Genomic DNA, 24,360 nt, shown 5'->3' with positions numbered 1-24,360 from the left:
TTAAGATCTTTGGGGAGCCATTGTCTGCCTATCACAGATACCAATCCACAGATTCACGAGGCTCAATAAGTCTTAAGCAGGATAATTTTTAAAACACACATACACACAAGTAGATACATCATAATTAAACTGCAGAATATCAGAGAGAGAGAGAAGATATTTAAAGGAACTAGATAGAGAGGACAGATTATTTTCAAGAAGAAAGAGAAGCAGACAACTACTAAATTATTAACAGTATCAATGAAAATTAGGAGACATTAGAATGTTGTCTTCAATGTGCTGAGAGAAAATACTTGTGAATTAAGTATTCTATATATATTCTGTAAAGATGTCTTTTAAGTATAAACTTGAAATAGAGATTTTCCAGAAAAACTAAAACTGAAAATTTACCAGTAAAGGACTCCTCCAAATGACATCTTTAAAAATCTGCTTCAATTAGAAAAAAATTGACCCCAGATAAAATCTGAGATGCAAGAAGGGATGAAGAGCAAAGAAAGTATGGTGGAGAAACACACTGGCTCTTAATAACAGTGTCTTGTGGAGTTAGGCATAAAGTGCACAAAAAAAAAACATTAAAAATGGTGTCACAAGGAACTTTGTGGTATAGTGAAAATTTGGATACCATGTTTGGTTAATGACAAAAATAGTTCAATAAATTATGGCGTATCAATTCAACAGAATTCCATGAAGCCATTTTAAAATAATACTATAAAAGTGTGTATTTTGTATAGTTTGGTATATGTAAATATGTAAACTTGTAAATATAGTATATTTACCATATCTTAGTAAGTAAAGGAAGCAGTCTGGTAAACAGCAGATGTAGATATGGTTTGAGATTTCTTGTTTAAACAATATACATACATATGAGCACAGAAAAAGGATTAGAACAATATTCACTGAACACCTTAATAATTATTATCCCTGAGAGACGGAATATAGTTTGTGCTTGCATTTTCTTTTTTTGCCATTATATTTTCTCACATTGTATAATGTATATGTTACTTTAAAATAGGTTTATTGTTTATAACAGTTTTAGATTTACAGAAAAATTGCTAAAATAACACAAAGATTTCTCATATAGCCTGCACAGTTACTTCTGTTAATAACTTACATTAGTGTAGTTGATTTGTTATTATTAATAAACCAATATTAATATATTATTAACTAAAATTCATACTTTATTTAGGTTACTTTTGTTTTTACCTAATTCTTTTTTTCTTTTCCAATCTCCCATCCAGGGTACATTACATTTAGTTCTCAAGTATCTTTAGGCTCCTCTTGGCTGTAATAGCTCTGAGGAGAAATGGTCAGATACTTCGCAAGATATTCCTCTAGTGAATTTTTGTGGTATTTTTCTCATGATTTGACTGAGGTTGTTAAGTTTGGAGGAGGAATACCACAGAGGTAAAGTGCTATTTTCTTGATACCACATTACATCAGAGGTACATAATATCAACATGATTTATCTCTATTTACATTGACTTTGATCACCTGGCTCAGCAGTGTTGTCAGATTTCTCCATTGTAAAGTTAATTGTTTTTCTTCACCCTTTTTTTCATAGTGCACTCTTTGGAAGGAAATGCTATGTACATCCCACATTTATGGAGTGAGGAGTTATGTTCCTCCTCCTTGAGGGTGGAGTAGCTACGTAAATTATTTGAATTCCTCCACATGGGAAATTTGTCTTTAATTTCCAATTGATTTATTTAATCACTATATCAATAAGGACTTGTGGATATTTAATTTATACTTTGGGTTAAGGTTGAATCCTTCTTTGTTGCAACAATTGTTCTATCTTTAGCCACTGGGAGTTCCTTCAGTTGGCCCCGTTCCTTTGACATACCCCATAAATGTGTTTTGTTTGGGTTCTGGTTTTAGTTTTGGTTTTTAGCATCTCCTTATTATCTGGCACTGCAAGATGCTCCCAGGTCATCTTGTGCATTTTTACTCCAATCTTAGAATCACTCATTTCTCCAAGAATCTCTGGTTTCCTTTATTGAAGAACTGTACTAGAAACCAAGATCTGGACACTAGGTGTGCTCATTTTTACAGCATCAAGTCTCTCAATCTATGAACACATATCTCTCCATTTATTTAGATCTTCTTTGACTTCTTTCATCAGAGTTTTGCAACTTCTTCATGTAGATTCTGCTCAAATTTTTTAGATTTATACCTATTTCATTTTGGAGGGGTTGTTTCTTTTTAATTTCAAGTTCCAGTTCTGCACTGCTGCTATATAGGAAGGCAATTGACTTTTGCATGTTAACCTTATATCATGTGACCTTACTATAATTGCTTATTAGTTTAGTGAGCGTCTTTTTTTGGTATGTTTTTGGGGATTTTCTAGACAGACATTCAGTCATCTACAAATGGTTTTATTTCTTCCTTCCTTTTATTTTCTTTTTAAATCTTATTGCACTGGTTAGAATTTCCAGTACAATGGTGAATATATGTGTGTGCTTTCTATATTTCTTATTATTGTCTGAGTTCTTTTATTCATCTTCAAATATTTATTTTTGAATCATTTTCATTTTTATGTGGTTCTCTAATATTTTCTATTATTTAAAACTTGCTCTCTGTTTTGAAATATTACATTACAGTTTTCATCCACTTTTTTTTGCTTCATATTCTCTTTTCTATTATAGCAACTTTAAATGAAATTCGACCATGATCCTTTTCTGTGGTATATTTTTAGGCTAAGTTATTCTGTATTTTTAAGAGGGAGGATTGGGTAGAATATCTTTTCCAGTTTCATGGCTCTAGAGGTTCCTTTTCTAATATTTCATAAAATGACACACGTGTCTTCATATTTTCTGAGATCTGTCTCCTCTCTACTCTCCCACTTTTATCTGCATCTGCTTTTTTGTTGGCCCCTATTGTCTCTGTTCTGTTCAATTTGGATTCTACTTTCAGTAGTTTCTCCCTAGTGTTGGGCTATGTTCAAGAACGGAGCTCCAGTTTGTTGGTTTCGAGAATTTACAGGCCTCACATCCCTCCAGCAGCTTCAGACCCTCCTGCTCATTCCTTCACACTTAGCTGAGCTTAGAGTCTGCTGAACAACCTGCCAGTTTTGACGCCGACCTCACATTGGTTTCCTCTGTTTTTTAGTGATTTTTTGTTGGCAGTTTTGGGGCCTTCCCATTCTGAGGGTCTTCAGATGATCTGTTGTCTTCCCACTATTCCCTCCTACACAGTTGCTGATATTAAGTTGGGTTTGCTCCTTCCTGTTCATATTTTGAGGTTTTAGGGATTCCTTTTCACCTAGTTATGTTATAGCTATCTTCTGGGATTTTGTTATTGTCTATCCTAGATGCTTTACCTGTTTTTATCAGGAGATTCAGGAAGTTCACAGACTACACTGCCTGTCTAATCACCTTCCCAGAGTCTTCAATATTCATATATTACGTGGGAGGATACCAGTAATATGTATGTATAAGTATGTAAATGTACAAATACATTTTAAAGTTTTTTTTCTGTATTTTTGGAGTCAGTCGAAATGCAGGTTGAAATGATTATAGATGAGTGGCCGATTCTTCCTTGTAGCTACCTTTCAAGTCATGTTTAAAAATGGGTTTCTTTTTGGCTTTCCTAGCCTGAAATTAAAGTACTCACAAGTGTTACTCTATTTCCACATCTCCTCAACTCCCAACTTGCTGAAGAGTATCCTAAGACTTAGAATTAAGCTTAAAATAATGGAATTTGTAATGATTGCCCAATGTTTTGAAATCAAACTTACGGAGGGGTTCATAATCATAGTTATTACTGTATTTTTATGTCCTAAAGTTCTAGTTCTGTCTGTAGCCTCCTTCTTATTCTACCAACTAGGGCCCAATTTAACAAACTGGTTGCCAACTGTCTGAATATAGCCCACAGACATATTTTATTTAGTCTGCTCAGTATTTTAAAACAAACAAAATAGCTGCCAACACTTTAAAACCAGATTTCATATTTATGGCTGTTCTTAAAAAAATGAGATCTGGTGCCATTAAGCCCATATTCTCTCCTGGAACTTTTATCCTGATTAAAGAGGAATTGCACTCTCAGGTTTGTGATACTTTCCTTCTAGACGCTTCTCTCATTTGCTACCTTCCAGTCCCCATAGATACTATGCATTTGTAACCCATGGAGTAGTATCTCTTTGAGTCCAACCTCTTATATTAGCTTAAACTACAAGTATGTGCTCATTCTTTTTAAAATCTGTTTCTACTCAGATGTCCTGCAGACTCCCCAGAATGCACATATTTTAAAACAAAACTATTTTTTCAAAACCTATTTTTCTTTTTTTTTTTTTTTTTCTTTTTTTTGAGACGGAGTATCACTCTGTCACCCAGGCTGGAGTGCAGTGGCAGGATCTCGCCTCACCGCAAGCTCCGCCTCCCGGGTTCACGCCATTCTCCTGCCTCAGCCTCCGGAGTAGACGGGACTACAGGCGCCCGCCACCACGCCCGGCTAAGTTTTTGTATTTTCAGCAGAGACGGGGTTTCACTGTTTTAGCCAGGGTGGTCTTGATCTCCTGACCTCGTGATCCGCCCGCCTAGGCCTCCCAAAGTGCTGGGATTACAGGCGTGAGCCACCACGCCCGGCCTCAAAACCTATTTTTCTTCCAGTATTCCCTAAATGACCCGGTTAATGTTACTGCATTCCTACAGTTGTCCAAGTTAGAGAAGCCCTTAGGGTTATTATCTCCTCCTTCTTCCTCATTCTATCCACAGCTTTTCAGTCATGTGCAAAACTATGACACGCTTAGGTCTTTGCTTTCACTGTTCCCAATATCTTAAACTTCTTCACTTTTCTGACACCTGTACAACTCCTACTTACTTTCCAAGATGAAACAAAATTATTTAATCTCCAAAACTATGTCCTCTGCCTCAAGGAGCATTTAGTTGCTTCTTTCAAAGTACAAGCATCTCAAGTACATGTTGTATGGTATTTATTTACTGCTGGCTCCCCTATTAGATTAAGGATTCCTTAAGCACAGAGAGCATGATTTCGTCATTTCTGTATCACCAATACTAAGACAAAACGCATAGAACTCGATACATGTGTCAAATAAATAAATACATAAATTTTACAAATCAATGAAAATATTGTTTCACATGATTTCACCGTCTTAAACTTTCTATATGTTTCAATTTTTTGTTAAATTGACTTTTGCTGGTGCTCTTTTGGTGCTTACTTTGGATTAATAATAGAATCATTTTAAATTTTGCACCAAATGACTACAAAGTTAAATGTCTATGTCAAAAGAAAATTTATTGACTTCATTATTAGAATATGAAGTGGTTTTTTTTGCTTTAAAACTTTGTTTAAAATATCTAAGGAGGCCAGGTATTAACTCTGAAAAAACTGTATAATTATTTATAAAACAGATCCCATAGGAGCAACTGAACAGCTGTGGAAAGATTTGGCACATCACTTTGCCAGCCTGAATTTAATGACCTACATGTGAAGGGCTACATATCCAATTACTAATCCTCCCTCAGCTACTCTTTGCCCTCATATGGAGGCAGCTGAAAAAAGATGCCCTACTAACAGATCAGAAGTGGATCCAGACTTTTTTGCCAGTGCTCAGTTAACAAAGATCTTTTAGGTTTGAGATGAGGAAGAAACAGAAGAGGGACTCACAACAGTGTTATAGCTGATACAGTGTTTCAAGTAAAATTTAAGGGCTTATGGCAAGAGTGACTTTAGTTTTGTAACTAAAGTCAAAGAAATTTCGGCTCTTTTAGAGAATCTCAAATTCTGGATTTAATTTTCTATTCACTGAAGCCTTTAAACATGTTCAAATATCTTCAAGGATAATTTACTTCAAAATTCTTTCTATATGAGAAGCCAGTCTTCTATTCAAGATGCAAACCTCATTCTTACCTTCAAATTCTGCAATAATCACCTATTAGAAGTAGAGGAGAAAAAAACTAAATAGAAAATGACAATCTACGGGGTTGTATTTCATTTCTCTCTCAGTTGACATGATCTATATATAGCAAAAGATTATATAAGGTCAAGTATTATAAACAATGAAATGTCATCTGATGTTTTGCAAAACAGCATAGGAAAAATAGCTCAAGGAATGAATAAAGAGTAAAGCTATGGCTGTTTTACTTCAGCCATAAAAAAGCCTTACAGATTCTAAATTTAAATGCATTTTATTGTGAATCTGACTCACTTTTTGAATTTAATTTTCCACTTGAGTTATGTAAAATCATGTGATATGGTAATTTTCTGTATAAATTAAAAATAATATAGGCAAGAGATGTTTTTCTCTCATTTTCAACACAGAAAAATTAGGAGCCTTTCTTCGTTGTTTTGCATTTTTAACAGTGGGACTATCTTAATTCCTTCATCCAATACTCACAAGAATATATGAATGAATACACGTCTGCAGGTACACACTTAATTCTTGAACGGGAAAAAACAGACATCACTGTAACTACCTCCCACTCCCAAAACACTAACTCCAGACCCCGCCCCGCATAAACCCCTCCCCTTTCTTCCATTGCGGGTTCGAAATGGCCGCAGTTCGATGACGTAAGACGCAACCGCCGTAGCCTCCACTGCGTAACTACCGCCCCTGCCTCTGGGAATTGAAGTTTCTGTGGAAGGAAGCGTGAGCCGTAACCAGGCCAACCCAGAAAGGCTTTCTTTCTGAGATTTCACTTCCCTGTCAACTCTTCAGCTCGGTAAGTGTCCTGGCACTGGTTGGCGCTCCCCCGCACTATGGTATTCTCTGGACGCAAAGGGGCGCGTGCCATGCAGCCCCCTACTAGCAACAAGGGCTTCCGGGGGAGAGGGGAGCAGTGGTGTGGAAGTGGTTTCCTGCGGCGCTCTTGCTGAAGGAAATGACGTCGATGACAGGCGCCCCCCGCGGCCTACCCAGCTGCTCCCTGGTTCGCCAGAGACAGCTTAATCCCGTCTCTGAAATGCGTTTGCTGGCTGGGAGCCTAGAAGGGATAGTGGGCGAGGCTCCGCCCCGTGGTGGGGCGCTTTCCGTCGGCGTGTGTTTTGGGGTTGCCATCGGCCCGTAGTATGTGAAAAGTGAGTTTGCAAAGAATCAGTGGGAAATCTGTACTCTAAAGGGCCGGAAAGCGTGTTATGGCCCTGCCACTTCGTGGCTAGAGACCGTGGGCTTTACCTCTTTAAAGCTGCCTTACCTCATTTTTCCTGCAAAGGGCTGACGTCGCTGAACTCTCTGAAATGTAGAGAGCCCGAGGGGAAGTTGCTGCAGGTGCTGTGAGCTGAGGACAGTTTTATAAAGATCGAAGTGTTACTTGATTTCACTGAAATACTTTAAATTTGGGAATTTTTCTACAGATATGAAGAGGATGGCAACACATTACTTGTCACTTTCTGAAAGAATTTCATCTGCCCCTTCCATTCCCAACCCTCTGCCCAAAAGGCTTGACAACTGAAGTGAACAAAGGGCTTTTCGCTCCTCCACGTTTAGTCCGCATGTCTTTTAAAAGGGCATTCCTGGCCGGGCGCGGTGACTCACGTCTGTAATCCCCGCACTTCGGGAGGGCAAGGCGGGTGGATCACCTGAGGTCAGGAGTTCGGGACCAGCCTGACCAACATGGTGAAACCCCGTCTCTACTGAAAATACAAAATTAGCCGGGCGTGGTGGCGCATGCCAGTAATCCCAGCTACTGGGGGGGCTGAGGCAGGAGAACTACTTGAACCCAGAAGGCGGAGGTTGCAATCAGCCGAGATTGCGCCATTGCACTCCAGCCTGGGCAACAAGAGCGAAACTCCGTCTCAAACAAACAAGAAAGGCCGGGCGCAGTGGCTCATGCCTGTAATCCCAGCACTTTGGGAAGCCGAGGCGGGTGGATCACGAGGTCAAGAGATGGAGACCATCCAGGCCAACGTGGTGAAACCCCGTCTCTACTAAAAATAACAAAAATTAGCTGGGCGTGGTAGCGCGCACCTGTAGTCCCAGCTACTCGGGAGGCTGAGGCAGGAGAATCGCTTGAACCCGGGAGGCAGAGGTTGCAGTGAGCCGAGATTGCGCCACTGCACTCCAGCCTGGGCGACCTAGCAAGACTCCCTCTCAAAAAAAAAAAAAAAAAAAAAAAAAAAAGGCATTCCTTTGCTATCGCTGTCAAGTCATTAATTCCAATCTGCATTATTCCCACATTCGTTGAGATTTTTCTGAAAAGGAGACTGTCATAAATTAACGACGATTATTTATTTTATCCCAATCCATAACTTAATGCAGTTTTAAAAAACTTTTTTTTTTCTTTTGGTGCTCATTGATGTAGGATGTGTCCTTGCCTTACAAAGTGAGATAGTTTGTAAGCCCACTTAATAACCTATGTCTGCGAATGAACCCCACAAATTTTTAAAATTTTATGCAGGAGTAAAATTTCACACACACACACACACACACACACATATATATATATATAATTTTTTTTTTTTTTTGGAGACGGAGTCTTACTCTGTTGCCCTAGTTGGAGTGCAGTGCTGCGATCATGGCACACTGCAACCTCTGCCTCCCGGGTTCAAGCGATTCTTCTGCCTCAGCCTCCCGAGTAGCTGGAATTACAGGCGTCCACTACCACGCCTGGCTAATTTTTGTATTTTTAGTAGAGACGAGGTATCGCCATGTTGGTCTTGAACTCCTGACCTCAGGTGATCCGCCCACCTCAGCCTCCCAAAGTGTTGGGATTACAGGCATGAGCCACTGCGCCCGACCTCACACAAATATTTTTATAGTTACTGTAAAATACGTTCTTGAACATTTGTTGAACTTGGTTGAATGAATGAAAATGTACTGTGAGCATCACTGCATGTGAGAAAGGAATGAAAAACTCTGCCATGGAATTTTATAAATTATTGCCCAAACTAAAACAATTAGAAAGCAAGTATACCTAATAAAATGCTGTTTTGCTTAACAGGTAATCTGAACACGCTAGTACATAGTGCAGTGTAGATATACATTATACTTATTGTATAGTGTAGACAGTGCGAGTTGGTAGATATCTTTGTAAAGTATACTATACGGAATAATTTATAAGATATCAGGTTAGCATCATTTTTGTTGCATTCCATTTGTCTCAGTGCACCTGGCTTATTTAAAGCCTAAAAACTTCACTTAGTACAGTCGTTTTCTTAGTTAGGAATAGTTTTTAAAAAGATGATGATGATGATGATGAAGATGTTGACCATCTCATGACCTTTCCTTGTGTTTGAGAGATTGAAACATTAATGTACTATGACAGGTCATATTAAATTTAACTTAAGACTTCTTAGATAGGAAAGGCATATGCTCCCCCTGGTGTACATGACCTGTAAAACATTACATTGCTCTTTAAAAAGTCTTCACGTAGGCCGGGCCTGGTGATTCACGCCTGTAATCCCAGCACTTCAGGAGGCCGAGGCAGGCGGATCACGATGTCAGGAGTTCGAGACCAGCCTGACCAACGTGGCGAAACCCCTTCTCTACTAAAAATACAAAAATTAGCCAGGCGTGGTGGCGCGCGCTTGTAATCCCAGTTACTCAGAAGGTTGAGGCAGTAGAATCGCCTGAACCTGGGAGGCGGAGGTTGCAGTGGGCGGAGGTTGCAGTGAACGGAGATCGCGCCACTGCACTCCAGCCTGGGTGACAGAGCAAGACTCTGTCTCCAAAAAAAAAAAAAAAATCTTCACATAGAGCTAATCAACACATGCCGTTTTTGAATAAAATAGAGAACTAACTGAAAATGATGCCACTGATAAACAGAAATGTACTCTCTTGGAATATTATTATTTCATGAAGAGAGCAATTTGTTTCCTGTGAATTTTAATTGTGCTTTTAAGTTTCCTCCACTCGGTGTCGTTTTGGATACCTGCATAGCTGAATTTTATTTAATGTATTGTGTATTGCAAGAAAGGAAAATAAAAGTGATCCAGGGGATCAAAATACATATTTTTTAATTTTTTTCCATCTAGCCTTTTTAGGCTTATTCAGTTTCCCCACCTCCAGTTTCTTAAATTGAATGCTTACCTTACTTTCTAGATTTTTTTTAAAAAAATTAATGAATGCATTCAAGGCTATATGTTTATCTCTAATTACCTTTTTTTCCTGTATCTCTCTTATTCTGTTATCCAAGTCTTTACTGCTCCTCCATATTATTTTTCTGTTCTATTTGTGTCTGCATCCTGAGTCAGATTGTCTTCTAAGTCATCAGTTACTTCTTGGGACTCCAGATAATCTGGAGTTTGTCTCTTCTATTGAACTTTTTATGTCTTCATTTCCTAGTTTTCACAGATTCTTTTTCACTGATTCTGTTCTTTTTCACTGATTCTTGTTTTACTTTTTAGTAAAGCCTGCTTTTATATCACAACTTTCTGTCTTGTTCTTATACTTCTTATTCCCTTATGACCTCTCTGAAATATTTCAGCCAAATTTATTTTAAAGTCATTTTGATTGCCCTATTTTTAATTTGTATCAAGTGAATTTATTTCTTGGTTATTGATTTCAGTTTTAAAAATCAGTTCTGTCTTTTTGTAGTTTCCCTCATTCTACAGCATTAAAAAAGACTATAGAAAAGATGCTTTTCATCTCTTTTTAAAATTTTTTGTTTTATTAAAAACAATATATTTTCATTATATAACTTTAGAAAATGCAGAAAACTGTGGGTAAGAATTAAACGTGTGTGTGTATACCTTTTTAAAAAAGTTGGTCGTAATGTATATATTGTTTTCTTTGATTTTGTTTAATGTATAACCGTTTCCCCTTATCATTAAATATTTTTGGATATATAAGTTTTTCTGGCTGCTTAATATTCCTTGCCCATGTTATAGATTAACCGTAATTGTTTAGTTTCCTTTCACTGACATTCAGGAGGTTTCTAACTTTTCACTGTTAAAAATAACACTGCATTGCATATACTCTTGTGCACATTTTTGTGTGCATTTCTGATTTATTTACAGAAATTTAAGGAAATACTGAGTCAAAGGGTGTCTAAATAGAGATTTTGAAGCTCTTAAAACATATATATGTGTTGCCTTCTGGAAAAATTGTACCATGACCACCAGTAGTATATGAAACACCCCATTTCTTTAGACCTTTACTAGCATTGCTGAATATTTAATTGATATTAAATGGTATTTAAATGATATTTACAATTAAATGACATTTATTTGTCTAAAGTTTTATTTATATTATTTTATGGTTTAACTTTAATCATATTGATTATTTGAGTTTTTTAACTTTTTTGTGCTTGTAAATTATCTATTCATGTCAAAAGTTGTTTTTCAGAGGCACCAAATAATGTCATCTGAAATGTTGCCAGCATTTATTGAAACTTCTAATGTTGACAAAAAGCAAGGCATAAATGAAGATCAAGAGGAGAGCCAGAAGCCAAGATTAGGTGAAGGGTGTGAACCAATATCTAAACGACAAATGAAAAAACTAATAAAACAGAAACAATGGGAAGAGCAACGGGAACTCCGCAAGTATGTGTTTCAAAATGTATATGCTCTCTTCCTATTTAGAGATATGCAATGTTAAACCTTGCATAGCCCTTTGGCATATTAAATGTAATTGTGTTACTTAAAATTCAATTACTAATTTTAGACAAAAGCGTAAAGAAAAACGCAAGAGAAGAAAATTGAAGCTAACAACGTATATTGTTAGCTAACACTGTCAACTGGCTGTTAAAACTATTTTTTAAAATTGTTTGGGTTTCTTTTAGCACTGTTGATGATCTTGCACTCAACACTTTTTCTAATGCAGAACCTTATTATGAGTAGCAGCACAATTTTTGAAACAACTGACTTAGATAAGGGATGTAATTAGTGTCTGTGTGCTAGTTATGGAATAAAAACAGCCAACTCAGAAAGATCAAGTTTTGGCCTGACATTGATTTTGCCACAAGAACTGTTGCAGGTTTTGGTGAAAGCAGTTTGGCTAAATTTGTCGTTGTAATAAATGCCAAAATTTATGGAGAGAAAATAAACTGTAGTTGGTGTAAATTAGAGAAAAAGTATGTAATTTTTTTAATGAACAATTTTATTTTGCTTTTTTCTATACCTTATAAATGTGGCTTAAAAATCATATAGGTAAATTATGAAAATAAAATTCGTCATAACTCAAACTCAGTATTTATAAGGTTAGGGATAGTATGATACCAATAACAAATGAAACTATTCAGATAGTATAGTTAGGATTTAGATAGAAAGCTTTAGATCATTTTTGGAAGCTCATTTCCTTCCTATCTGAAGCTTTTAGATGGGTTGTATAAAACTGCTAATACTTGACCATTTTTGAATGGTCACAGAAGTGACAATTTCATATGATTTAACCTGATGATTTTTAAAAGGAATTGTTTATTTAGAAGAGTCTTGTAAATAACTGAATACACAATAACAAAATGTTATTTCAATTACTAATTTTAGACAAAAGCGAAAAGAAAAACGCAAGAGGAAAAAATTAGAGCGACAATGTCAAATGGAACCAAACTCAGATGGACATGACAGAAAACGTGTTCGAAGAGATGTTGTTCATAGCACCCTTCGCCTTATTATTGACTGTAGTTTTGATCACTTGATGGTATTAAAGGTATCATGAATCATTGTCAGAAAAATCTTGTATGTGAATTAGGTCGAATCATTTTTGTTTTAATATGCAATATCCCTTTTATGTAAATTTGTGTATTGAAATGAATCTTCAGTTTTTCAAACTTTCCCCTAAGTTAAATTAGCTAGCAAATTGCATTGATATAATAAATATGTGTATTTATATATGTGTGTATGTGTGTGTGTCAGTATGTGTGCAGACAGGAAAGAGAGACAAACACACACTTTGTAGTCTAGATGACAGAACTAAATTAACTACTTATTGATCATAAAGATCTGTGGGGTTTTACCAGTGTTGTTGGTAAAACATGAAAATAGTAATAGTATGGCTCTAAAAGTCTTGTTGTTGTCTCTTTAGAGAGTAGCCGTTTTCATGAACTAGCATTTTAAATAAATACAAAATATGAAATAATGGGTCACTTACAGAGCATTAACTTACAGTAATTTTGCTAGTATGTAAGGAAATCAAATAACATTTATCAGAATGCATTTGTATTTAAGAAGAAAAATTGTATGTATATAGTCATCCCTTCTGCTTATTCCATTCCTTTAAGATCATAGAATGGCCATAGACAATTTTAATAACTTTGCTTTAAAAATTGAACTCTGTGATAGGACATTAAGAAACTTCATAAGCAGATTCAACGATGTTACGCAGAAAACCGACGGGCACTGCATCCTGTGCAGGTATGTGTAAAGATTTTAAAGCAGACTCTAGTTTTCTTTTATGTCTTTTGTGGCAAAAGACATAGATAATTCCTATAGTCTTTGCAGTAGTCTTACAGGTAATCTTGTTTAATGCCTATGTGAAAAAAATTTTTTTGACAGAAATGAAGCAAAATATTTTAAACATCTTTTAATATGTTATCTTAGACACACTCTTTCCAGTAATCATCAGTCTTATACAAATTGGCCTTTTCATTGCCTGTAGTTGATATCTTCATTGTGGGACATACATATATTTTTATACCAGTTTTTCAGTTTACAATTACTTCCAGTGTGGGAGAGAGATTGGACAGAGAGGCAGAAGCTGTGGCTGCCACCGCTTGACATATGTCGTGGTATCTGTTGTATAGATTTTGTCTACTTAAAGGTTTTTAGTTTTCTTTTGGGTCACTGAGAGTTTTGACAGGTCTTTTTTAAGCTGAGGTGAGGGAGTGATTTGGGAGACTATTTGGCTACTGTTAAGAATAACATCTTTCTGTTGGAATTCTAGGTGACCTAAAAATTAATACTGGCTCACTGATGTTAAGAACCAGGAACTATTAATATATTTTGGTTAGATATTTTGTTTTTACCAAGTGATAGTAATTTTGTATTTTTGTTTTTTATACTTTTTGTTTTATAGTCTCATATCACACTTCTGTGATAGTCCTTTTATCCCCATTTTTATCTGTAGTAGACCCCTTCTCACCCTTGATTCAAACTTAAATAGGTGTCAGGGTTTAGAATCAAAGAAAAATTATGAAGACTTTGTATTGTTTTAAAAAAAAGAGGAGTGGGAACTTGACATGGAAGCAGGGAGTTTGTAGACAAGTGATGATTAAGGTACAGGCATGTTATAACTACTTGGGATGAAAATGTAAATGGGATACTGCAGCTACTGGGTTATGAAACATGCACACAAAACGTACTATTTCTACCACAGTTTATTGTTTGCTCAAAGCATGTCACAAATTTTTTTTCTAGATGAATGAGAATAAATATATTTTGTGTTTCATTGATCGTCAGATAAGTAGATGAGAGAAATAAAATATTAGACTTAAATGGTCATTTGTTCTCTTTTTCTATACTTACAAATCTTTTATCAGTTTTACTTGACAAGCCACGGAGGCCAGCTGAAAAAGAACATGGATGAAAATGACAAAGGATGGGTCAACTGGAAGGTAATTAAAACAGATAAACTCTCACATAATTCCAAGTATTTTTATGTTTCTAAAGGTCTACATTTTGTACCTAAATTCTATATAATGCTACTTAATACAACAATCTCCAGATGCAATCTCTGAACCTAAGTCTAAGATTACAAATCAGAGATGCTGAAGAAGGGAGTGAGACATCTGGTAGCTTGTATTTGTTCTCATTAAATCTTCCCTATTTTATGGTCAACTTTTAAAACGTATTTTTAAAAAGAAATAATTTTAAGGGCCTTTATATCATTTCTCCCTAACATACTAGCTATACATTATATGTTACCTATAAAAATGAAGTCACTCTAAATTTTGGAAGTGTGCCTGCATTCTGTTTCTTCTTACTCTGTGCTGGCCACTATCCACATGTGGCTATTGAACTTGAAATGTGACAGTCTGAATTGTGAATTGAGATGTGCTATGAATGTGAAATACATACTGGATTTCAAAGACTCAGTACCACAAAAGAGAAAGAATGTGAATATCTCCTAGGTAATTTTTAAAATATTTATTATATGTTTAAATGATAAACTTTTGGGTATACTGTATTAATAAAATAAATTGTTAAAATTAATTTCACCTATTTTCACTTTTTAAAATTTGGATACTAGAATATTTAAAATTGCCTATGTGGCCTCACAGTTTTTTCTATTGGACCAAATTGTTCTCAGTCATTGGTAAAGGTGACTAAATAGATTGGCCTTGGTACCAGTCCCTGAGGAACTTGATCCTATTTAGGGAAGTACTGGGTTATCCCTATACCTTTTTTCTTTCTCAAAGTCAGTTCTCTCAGTGACACACTTTCCCTTTCACACTCACTAATTCCATAACAAAGGCATTTATTTTATTAATAGCCTATGATATGAAACATTTTCAAAGGCTTTTAAGTTTTTAAGTACAGTATATTTACCAAATCCTGTATTTGTGCCCATTTTTCCAAGAACTAGTGTAATAAATTAAAAGAGGCATGTTTTCAGTTATTTTGCGACTTGTTAAATTTATCATTTATACCATCACCTTTCCAGAGAGACTTGAGATTCATTGGTCTCTAATTAATCAGGTTCCTCTTGGGGCCTTAAATTTGTAATATAACATTTTCCAGAAAACTGGCTATTTATTAATTATACATTTTAGGAGAGAGTTCTTTTGCCTCATTCTTGGTTTCATTAAAAATTATGGATAAATGTCATCTGAGCCTGGTGATACATCTTTTATGCAGTCAATGTGGCTTACAAAATCATGACTGCCAGCTATTGTTCAATTTTGTACCTGTGACCTGACAATTTTGGTGAAGAAGTTTTCAAATGTGTGTCTCTTTGTAGAAACAGATACATGGAATTAATTAAATCTATAAACTATTTCCTTTTCTTTTTTTCTTTCTTTTTTTTTTTTTTTTTTTGAAACGTAGTCGCTTGCACTGTCACCCAGGCTGGAGTGCAATGGTGCAATCTCGGCTCACTGCAACCTCTGCCTCCGGGATTCAAACAATTCTCCAGCCTCAGCCTCCCGAGTAGCTGGGATTACAGGAGCCCGCCACCACACCCAGCTAATTTTTGTATTTTTAGTAGAGACAGGGTTTCACCATGTTGGCCAGGCTGGTCTCGAACTCCTGACCTTGTGATCCACCTGCCTCAGCCTTCCAAAGTGCTGGGATTACAGGCATGAGCCACCGCACGTGGCCAGCTATTTCCCTTTCATGATTCATGTAGATGGAGAGGAAGTAATTGGAGAAGGCATTCTTTGGTCATAGAACAATGTGAGCAAATATGTGGCAGTAAAAATGCGTTTGTTTTGTTGGAACAGAAATAAAGTTGGAAAAGTAGATTACTGCCATATTCAGGAAAGAGTTTTTAAATTAAGGATTTCAGATTTTATCCCACAGAAAAAGATAAAACATTGAAAGTAGTGTTTTTAGAAAATGAGCCTGCTATCAGTGTGTGGAAGTAGGTTGGAGGGGTCTGAGGCCAACAAGGAGGAAATAAAATTAAGAGGCTATTTAAATGATCAAAGTGTGAGATATAAGAAATTGATGTAGTAAATTCAAAATAATGCATTGTAATTATATTATTTCAAACTTTGTTTCATATATTTTTGAATGGATTTGTTTTGGGAAAAGAGAATAATCATTTTTAGCCAACTTTCATAAGGTCTTATTAATTAGTAACCTCTTTCCCTGTTGTCTTAAAGGATATCCATATCAAACCAGAGCACTATAGTGAACTCATAAAGAAAGAAGACCTGATTTACCTTACGTCAGATTCACCTAATATACTGAAGGAATTAGATGAATCAAAGGCCTATGTGATTGGAGGATTAGTAGATCACAACCATCACAAGGTACTATTAAATTTTTATTTTTGCTTTTGCTTGTTCTTAAAATTGATATATCACCATTTCCTGAAAGTAACAATAATACTAATGATAGCTCATCTTTATTGAGTGCCTACTATATGTCAGTCACCTTCTGAGCTAAGCAAAGTATTTCACATAAGTTAGCTTGCTTAATCTTCACTCAACCCAGTGAGATTAGTGCTATTATTATTTACGTTCCACAAGTAAGGAATTCATGGCACAGAGAAATTAAGTCTAAAATCAACAGTAGTAGGTGACAAAGCAGCTATTTGAAACCAGGCTGATTGCTCTGGAGTCCACATGCTTAAATGCTGTCTATGCTTTACTGATAGAAGATTCTGCTGCTAATCAATTGCTAAGCCATTGGAACTTAAACTAGTTTTTAAATATGTTATTTTCATGGGATGTTTTTTCTATTATCTTTCATTTGTACTTTTCTCTCTTCCCATCCATACCTTTATTTGGATGAAAAATTACAGAAATGCACTTTCTAAAAGAAAATGTCATTTTGTACTTCGCCAGCTACATTGCAGCATGCAAAATTCTTCGTATCTGCTTGTCCAGTATGTTAGGTCTGTGGCTATTGAGCACTTGAAATGTGTACAGTATGACTGAAGAACTGAATTTTTTAAATTGTAATCAATTTAAATTTAAGTAGTCACACATGGCTACCAATTGGACAGTTGCAGCTCTATTGCATCATAGGGAATTTTATCAGAATGATCTTTTAGCCTTTTTGTTTTTTTCTTAGTGGAAAAATTCTATTTTGTTATTTATATAGAACCACATTTTTTCTCATGTTTATGTTTTTCTGAACTAAAACAATTTTGTTTTCAAAAGCACCTGCTTCAATCTATTATTATTTGCTGCCTCCCCCCCCCACCAAGTATGCAAACCATCAGTTGACAAATTGAGCTTTTCTTTCTCCTGTACTCTGTTTTTCGACCATTTCAGTTCTGGTTGGACATAGGTTTCAAGGATTTTAATTTTGAAGAGAGATGAAATTCATATTCTGCATTTTTTTAATTGACAGGGAAAAATAAAACTTGTCAGTTATTTAAAATTTCTCAATTCAAGTTTTCATTTAATTTGTCTTTGTCATTTGTGCAAAGTAGTGTTACTAATTGAAATTTAATTTTTTTTTACACTTACGGGAAGAATGATGGTGCTTCCATAGGAATTCAGTTTAAGTTCAGTCGTATGTTGCTTAATGATGGGGATACATTCTAAGAATTACATCATTTAGCGATATCAATATTATAGAGTGTAGTTACAGAAACCTAGATGGTATAGCCTACTACACATAGGCTGTATGGCATAGCCTATTGCTCCTAGGCTACAAACCTATACAGAGTGTTACTGTACTGAATAGTGTAGACAATTGTAACATAAAGATCTTTGTGTTTCTAAACATATTTAAACATAGATGATATAAAAGATTTTTAAAATACAGGTATACGTGGTATACATGTATAGGGCACTTACCATGAGTGGTGCTTGCACAACTGCAAGTTGCTCTAGGTGAGTCAGTAAGTGAGTGGCAAATTAAATGTGAAGACCTGGATATTACTGTACACTGCTGTAGACTTTATAAATACTGTACACTTATGCTATACTAAATTTATTTAAAATTTTTTCTTCAATAATGAATTAACCTTAGCTTACTGTAACTTTTTTACTTTATAAACTTAATTTTTTAAACTGTTGGACTCTTTTGTAATAACATTTAGCTTAAAACGTAAACACATTATACAGCTGTACAAAAATATTTTCTTCATATATCCTTATTCCATAGGCTTCTTTCTATTCTTAATTTTTTAACTTTTTAAAATTAAAAAAAAAATTTTCCTCTTTTTTTTTCAACTTTTTAAACTTTTTTGTTAAAAACTACTACACAAACACACACATTAGCCTAGGCCTACATAGAGTCAGGATCATCAAAATCACTGTCTTCTACCTCTACATCTTAGTCCACTGAAAGGTCTTTAGGGGTAATGACATGCATGGAGCTGTCATCTCCTGTGATAACAGTGCCTTCTTCTGGAATATCTCCTGAAGGACCTGCCTGAGGCTGTTTTATATGTAATTATTATTTTTTTTTTTAGGAGTAGGAGGAGTACACTCTAACGATAAAAAGTATAGTAAATACATAACAGGTAACATTTATTATCATTATCAGGTGTTATGTACTGTACATAATTGTATGTGCTGTACTTTTATGTGATGAGCAGAAGGTTTGTTTCTTCCAGCATCACCACAAACACATGAGTAATGCGTTGCAGTATGATGTTCCAACAGCTCCAAAGTCACTAGGTGACAGGAATGTTTTAGCTCCATTATAATTTTATGGGACTACCACTGTATATGAAATCTGTCATTGCCTGAAACTTTGTTATGCAGTGCAGGACTGTATTTTAAGCTGAGATAAAGGCAGGGTAGAATGGGGAAAAGATATTTGAGTTAGGAGATATGTGAGCCAGATTTTTCTCGTGATTCTGCCACTGAGGAGCTTTGTAACTCGGCAGGAAACATAATGTCTTTGGTTTCCTCATTTGTAACTTGAGGAGCTTAAAACAAATGCTCTGCACATTGACTATACTTATTGTCAAGAGAATGTTTCCAAATGAGCAGTAAAACACACACATACCCCCCATTCAGATAATATTCTCTGAACTATAAATTCTCTGAACTATAAATCTTATCTAAAAATTATTTATACTATTACAGAAACTTTAAATAATTTAATGTTCTTGTCGAAGTCATAGTGTCTTTGTTTTAGGGACTCACATATAAACAAGCGTCAGATTATGGAATCAATCATGCACAGCTCCCACTTGGAAATTTTGTGAAGATGAATAGTCGAAAAGTTTTGGCAGTTAATCATGGTAAGCTGTAAGGGATAAACTGAAAATATACCTGAGCGAACATTGTGAGAAAGAATATTACATTTAGTATTTGAACAAGTAGAAAGTATTACACCTTCCTGGAGACAAAATTGTAAAAAGTAATAATTTATAATTTGTTTAACAGAAATAATGTGTATTAGAAAATTTTGAAAATGTACGAAAGTATTAAAAAATTAGCTGTGTCTTACTACACAGAAATACTTGGTGTTAACTTTTTGGTGTTGACCTCTAGTTCTTTTCCTATGTATATATATTATTATTTATTACATAATTGGATTTTCACTATATTACATACAATGTTGTGAATCTGGGATATTTTCTCTCCTTTATTACTTTATTTTTTATGTCATTGAATGATTGTTAATGGTGGCCAGGCACAGTGGCTTACACCTGTAATCCTAATCCTAGCACTTTGAGAGACCGAGGCAGACAGATTGCTTAAGCCCAGGAGTTCGAACACAGCCTGGGCTACGTGGTGAAACTTCATCTCTACAAAAAATACAAAAATTAGCTGGGCATGATGGTGGGTGCTTGTAGTCCTAGCTATTCAGGAGGGTGAGATGGGAGGATCACCTGAGCTCAGGAGGTGGAGGCTGCCGTGAGCCATGTTTGTGCCACTGCACTCCAGCTTGGGTGGCAGAGTGAGACCTTGTCTCAAATAAATAAATTTAAAAAATGGTTGTTAATGGCTATGTAGTCCATCATTTGAATATACAATTATTTAACCATTCTACTATGGTTGAATTGTGTTTTTTTTCTTTTTGCTGTTGCAAATAACATTGAAATAGACATCCTTGTACCGGTCTTTGCCTGGACTTTGCTTTAAAAAAATTTTTAAGCCGAGTTTTTAGTCAATACACAACTACTTATTAAACTTTTTATGCGCTACTTTCTATATAGCAGGTTCTAGGGAGTTATAAAAATGAAATTATCGATTCAACAAATGAATTGCCTCTAAAACCTTTGATATATAGTAGAAATTACTTTTTCCACAAAGTAATTCAGGTTAGCCCTTCAGCAGTATGCTGATGTGAGAGTACCCTGGAGACAATATTGATACTCTTGACTACAACCAATGTGAAAAGAAAAACAAAAGAAAAAAAAGCAGTCAAGGAGATCCTAGTGTGAGTGGCTCTTTACAGGAAACATGAAGAAAGTTAAGTGAATGCTAACTAGGTTGTTAGCATGTAAAGGATAAAGATGTGAAGGGGCTAAAAAAGAGTAGGAGAGAAACTGAAAAGGTCTTTATTGATTATAATTGACATGGGATACTGGTAAATTTCTGAGTGCTTAAGAACTGAACTGAGAAAAAGCTAGATAGGAGGTAATAGACTTAAGTACCTTGGGGCAAATTGGGCTTGACAGACAATAGAAAGAAGAGCTAAGAACAAAGTAGTTATTAGGACAAACTAGCACTCTTAACACAAAGGCAATGTATTTTAAAAGACATTGTGCAGCATTGTGATGAACTTGGCTAAGAAATGTACGGAATATGTCTTTATTGCAGTGTTTGAAATTATTCTGGAATACCTGGAAACAAGAGACTGGCAAGAAGCATTTTTTACTATCTTGCCCCAACGGAAAGGAGCTGTTCCCACAGACAAAGCCTGTGAAAGTGCTTCTCATGACAATCAGTCTGTCAGGATGGAGGAAGGTGGATCGGACAGTGATTCCAGTGAGGAGGAATATAGCAGAAATGAACTAGATTCACCACATGAAGAAAAGCAGGATAAGGAAAATCACACTGAATCTACAGTGAACTCTCTGCCACACTAATGTTACCTGGTTTCCTTTTAGTTTAAGGAAAAATTAGGAGAAAGTGAGGTGCTATATAGAATATTGAAATTGGAAGAACATTTTATTTTCTCTTATTTCTGTTGTGATTTTTAAAAACTTTTTTTTGGACCTAAATAATAATAAAAAAAAAAGCCCTTTAAACTTTGTAAGGAAATATTTTTTGATTTTGCGTAAGAAGATTTAAATGTGTATGTGATTTTTTTTGTTTTTGTTTTTAAAGCCTCAGTAGTTTCTAGATAATTTTACTGTATTAGTATATTTTCATTTTCTTTCATTTTATATTCTTTAGAATGTGCCTTCTGACCTTTCAGTTTTTTAATTTTATAGTCACATCAACATCTTTATGATCTATTGCCTATATATCTGTGAGGGCACATATTCATAAATATACTGTCAATCTATCAGCATTTGTGTATGGTAGGTTACCCTCTATTTGCAGCTTTTATGTTTAAATTAGTTACTTGAAAGAATGTAGTAATTTTAGGAAGAAGTATCAGTTTGATAGACTTAATAATTCATTTCTTTTGGACTATGGAGCGCATATCTGTTCCTTCTTTATGATGCCTTTTTATGGTTCTGAAGTAATTACTGAAGAGTTGAGAATCTCTTTAATGCATTTTCTTAATTCTTACAATGGTGATAAGTTACTTCAATTATAAAATTGAATTTTGCAGACTAAATTATTTTATAAGGCTGTTGCTATTGAAAGATCAATTTTGTCTTTACCTGCATTTAAAATGGAACAGCTCTTAGCAGCTGTGGTTTTTTTTTCCATATTTTTTTTAAATTTGTTGGCTCTTAAGATGAATAAAGTTTATAGGTGCATCTGCCTCCTCTTCTCTAAGAATATGCATACTAATGTTTGTTTCTATAAATCAAATACACATGTGATAATATGCATGTAAATACATAACTATCCTCATCATGTATGGCTCTCAGTTCTTAATTGATGATAACATGATTGAATTGCCATATATCTGTATTACTTGTGTGAATGGTTGTGTTGAACACGCTAAGAACAATTTGAATTTTATTAAGTACAAAAATCCTTAACGTTTGTATGGGAACATTGGCAAGAAAGAATAGTGTGAAAGGGAACTGTTTTAGTTTCCTATCAGTAATTGTACATGCAGTTAAATGTTTAAGGTAAAATGATTGGTCTCTGTCACAGCTAAAAGATTTCAGTAGCCTTCATTGAGTTTGGGTAAAATAAGTTGCTGTTCTTTTGTCTTCTTTTTAATATATAAAAGTTATATTTAAAAAGTATATAACATACTATATATGTTACATACTAACATATATATACACAACAGAAAGTTTATTGGATTTAGTACTGATATTTACTGTCTATTTTTGTTACTTTGTTCTTAGTAATCTATTATAGTTACCTATTTTAAGGTAAGGTCTGTAGGCAAGATATGTAAGTAAAGACAAGCCCTACAATTTTAAAATAACAAAGCTTATGTCTTAAGTTGTATTTTTTCAAAGGTTCATGTTTTTCTGAGTAAATGTGGTTTATTAGCATGAAATATTATGCCTTTTACTTAAATTATTTTATGTAAAATAGGGCACTGTTTAATTATGAAAGGGGGAAAATCATTCCAAATAAGAGTTTAATTTTTATTAATTATAAAAAACTCTGTATTAGTTTCCTAGATGTGCTAGAACAAATTACCACAAACTGGGTGGCTTTAAACAACAGAAATTTATTCTCTTAACAGTTCCAGAGACTAAATGTCCAGACTCACAATGTCCCAGTGCCATGCTTCCTCCTTAGGCCCTAGGAAAGAATACTTCCTAGCCTCTTCCTGGCTTTTGGTGGTTGCCAGCAATCCCTGCTGTTCCTTAGCCTATAGTGGCTTGACTCCAATCTCAGTTTTGTTGTCAAGTGGTCTTCTACCCTGTCTTCTATGTTTGTATCCGTGTCCAAACTCTTTTTCTAGGGAGACCAGCACTGGATTAGAGTTCACCATGATCCAATATGACCTCATCTTGACTACATCCGCAAAGACCCTGTCTCCAAATAAGGTCACATTTACAGGGTACCATGTGTTAGGATTTGACATATCTTTTGGGGGACACAATTCTACCCACTACAGGCCCATATCTTATCTAGGATGTTGGTGGCAAGAAGGTGAAGATTACTACCTCTTTTGATATAACTAGTTTCTGAGGTATTTAAAAATTTGGTTTTAAAAATATTAAGCTTTTTGCTCATTTGCATGTATACTTTTCTCTCAACATTGTTTTGGTTTATTTAGGTTATTTGTTAAAACTTCAGTAAATACTAAAGTTACTTGTATTAGAACATAATAAAAGTAGAGAATTAAACTACCTAAATAAATGCATCAAAAAATATATGTCTGCTGAAATACAGAATTTCCTCACATTTAATTTCTTTAATAACCTACAGTGATCATAAAGCAAGCTCATTCTTAAGAGAAGAACCATTCTTCATTCTGATTCTCCAGAGTTTGGTGCTGTTGACATTATAGCATTTGAAAATGCTCAGAATGGAAAAATCAAAATTGAGAAAAGAAAGTAATTCTACTGAATAAACATCTTTTGGGAGGTAAATGAACAATGATGAAATCCAGCAGTGACTGGCAATTATAAAGCAAAGGGACATACTATTTCACTTTATAGACAGAAAAGGTAACAGAAATGATGTAGATAAAAGGCAAGAATTGTCCATAGAGCCCTGAGAAAGTATACAGACAACAGGTGTAAAATGAGATAAAGAAAGAAAGGAGAATGGTAGAGATTTGAATTAAGGGCAGTAAAGGCATTTAGTAGTCATTAAACTTTGATTTCAGTTAGCATGCAGGTATTTA

At 35.0% G+C, this 24,360-nt stretch overlaps 2 protein-coding genes across 9 annotated transcripts in view, besides 3 other annotated features; one reads left to right on the top strand and one right to left on the bottom strand.

Annotated features, from left to right (window-relative positions):
* MTTP (microsomal triglyceride transfer protein) overlaps positions 1 to 6,463 on the bottom strand; it is a 59,868-nt gene extending 53,405 nt beyond the window's left edge. For both annotated transcript variants that reach the window (NM_000253.4, NM_001300785.2), the window contains exon 1: positions 6,356 to 6,463. The gene's annotated coding sequence lies outside the window, so the exon portion shown is untranslated. The remainder of the gene's footprint in view (positions 1 to 6,355) is intronic.
* Positions 6,251 to 7,450: an enhancer, noted in NCBI's record as "BRD4-independent group 4 enhancer chr4:100484300-100485499 (GRCh37/hg19 assembly coordinates)". NCBI's record gives its function as "activates an origin of replication core promoter dependent on BRD2, P300/CBP, MED14 and CDK7 cofactors, and independent of BRD4, by STARR-seq in HCT116 cells {active_cell/tissue: HCT116}" and the evidence as "EXISTENCE:reporter gene assay evidence [ECO:0000049][PMID:35650434]".
* Positions 6,476 to 6,535: an enhancer, noted in NCBI's record as "active region_21740". NCBI's record gives its function as "activates an Ori minimal core promoter by ATAC-STARR-seq in GM12878 lymphoblastoid cells {active_cell/tissue: GM12878}" and the evidence as "EXISTENCE:reporter gene assay evidence [ECO:0000049][PMID:35858748]".
* Positions 6,554 to 23,882, top strand: TRMT10A (tRNA methyltransferase 10A). Of its 7 annotated transcripts, none has more exons than NM_001134666.3 (8): positions 6,554 to 6,680; positions 11,243 to 11,439; positions 12,382 to 12,544; positions 13,177 to 13,248; positions 14,373 to 14,447; positions 16,659 to 16,808; positions 19,603 to 19,708; positions 21,237 to 23,882. In NM_001134666.3, exons 2-8 carry the CDS (start codon positions 11,255 to 11,257, stop codon positions 21,503 to 21,505), a joined length of 1,020 nt encoding a protein of 339 aa, NP_001128138.1. In that variant the 5' UTR covers positions 6,554 to 6,680; positions 11,243 to 11,254; the 3' UTR covers positions 21,506 to 23,882. The 7 variants fall into 7 exon arrangements, with proteins under 7 accessions (NP_001128138.1, NP_001362811.1, NP_001128137.1 ...); NM_001375882.1 differs by having other exon boundaries at positions 11,232 to 11,439; positions 16,659 to 16,787; NM_001134665.3 differs by having other exon boundaries at positions 11,232 to 11,439.
* Positions 6,886 to 7,015: an enhancer, noted in NCBI's record as "active region_21739". NCBI's record gives its function as "activates an Ori minimal core promoter by ATAC-STARR-seq in GM12878 lymphoblastoid cells {active_cell/tissue: GM12878}" and the evidence as "EXISTENCE:reporter gene assay evidence [ECO:0000049][PMID:35858748]".

The sequence above is a fragment of the Homo sapiens genome, chromosome 4 (assembly GCF_000001405.40).
Source record: "Homo sapiens chromosome 4, GRCh38.p14 Primary Assembly".
Taxonomy (NCBI): Eukaryota; Metazoa; Chordata; class Mammalia; order Primates; family Hominidae; genus Homo; species Homo sapiens.
The sequence above is the reverse complement of the archived record's forward strand: the minus strand, read 5'-3'. Positions and strand labels throughout refer to the sequence as shown.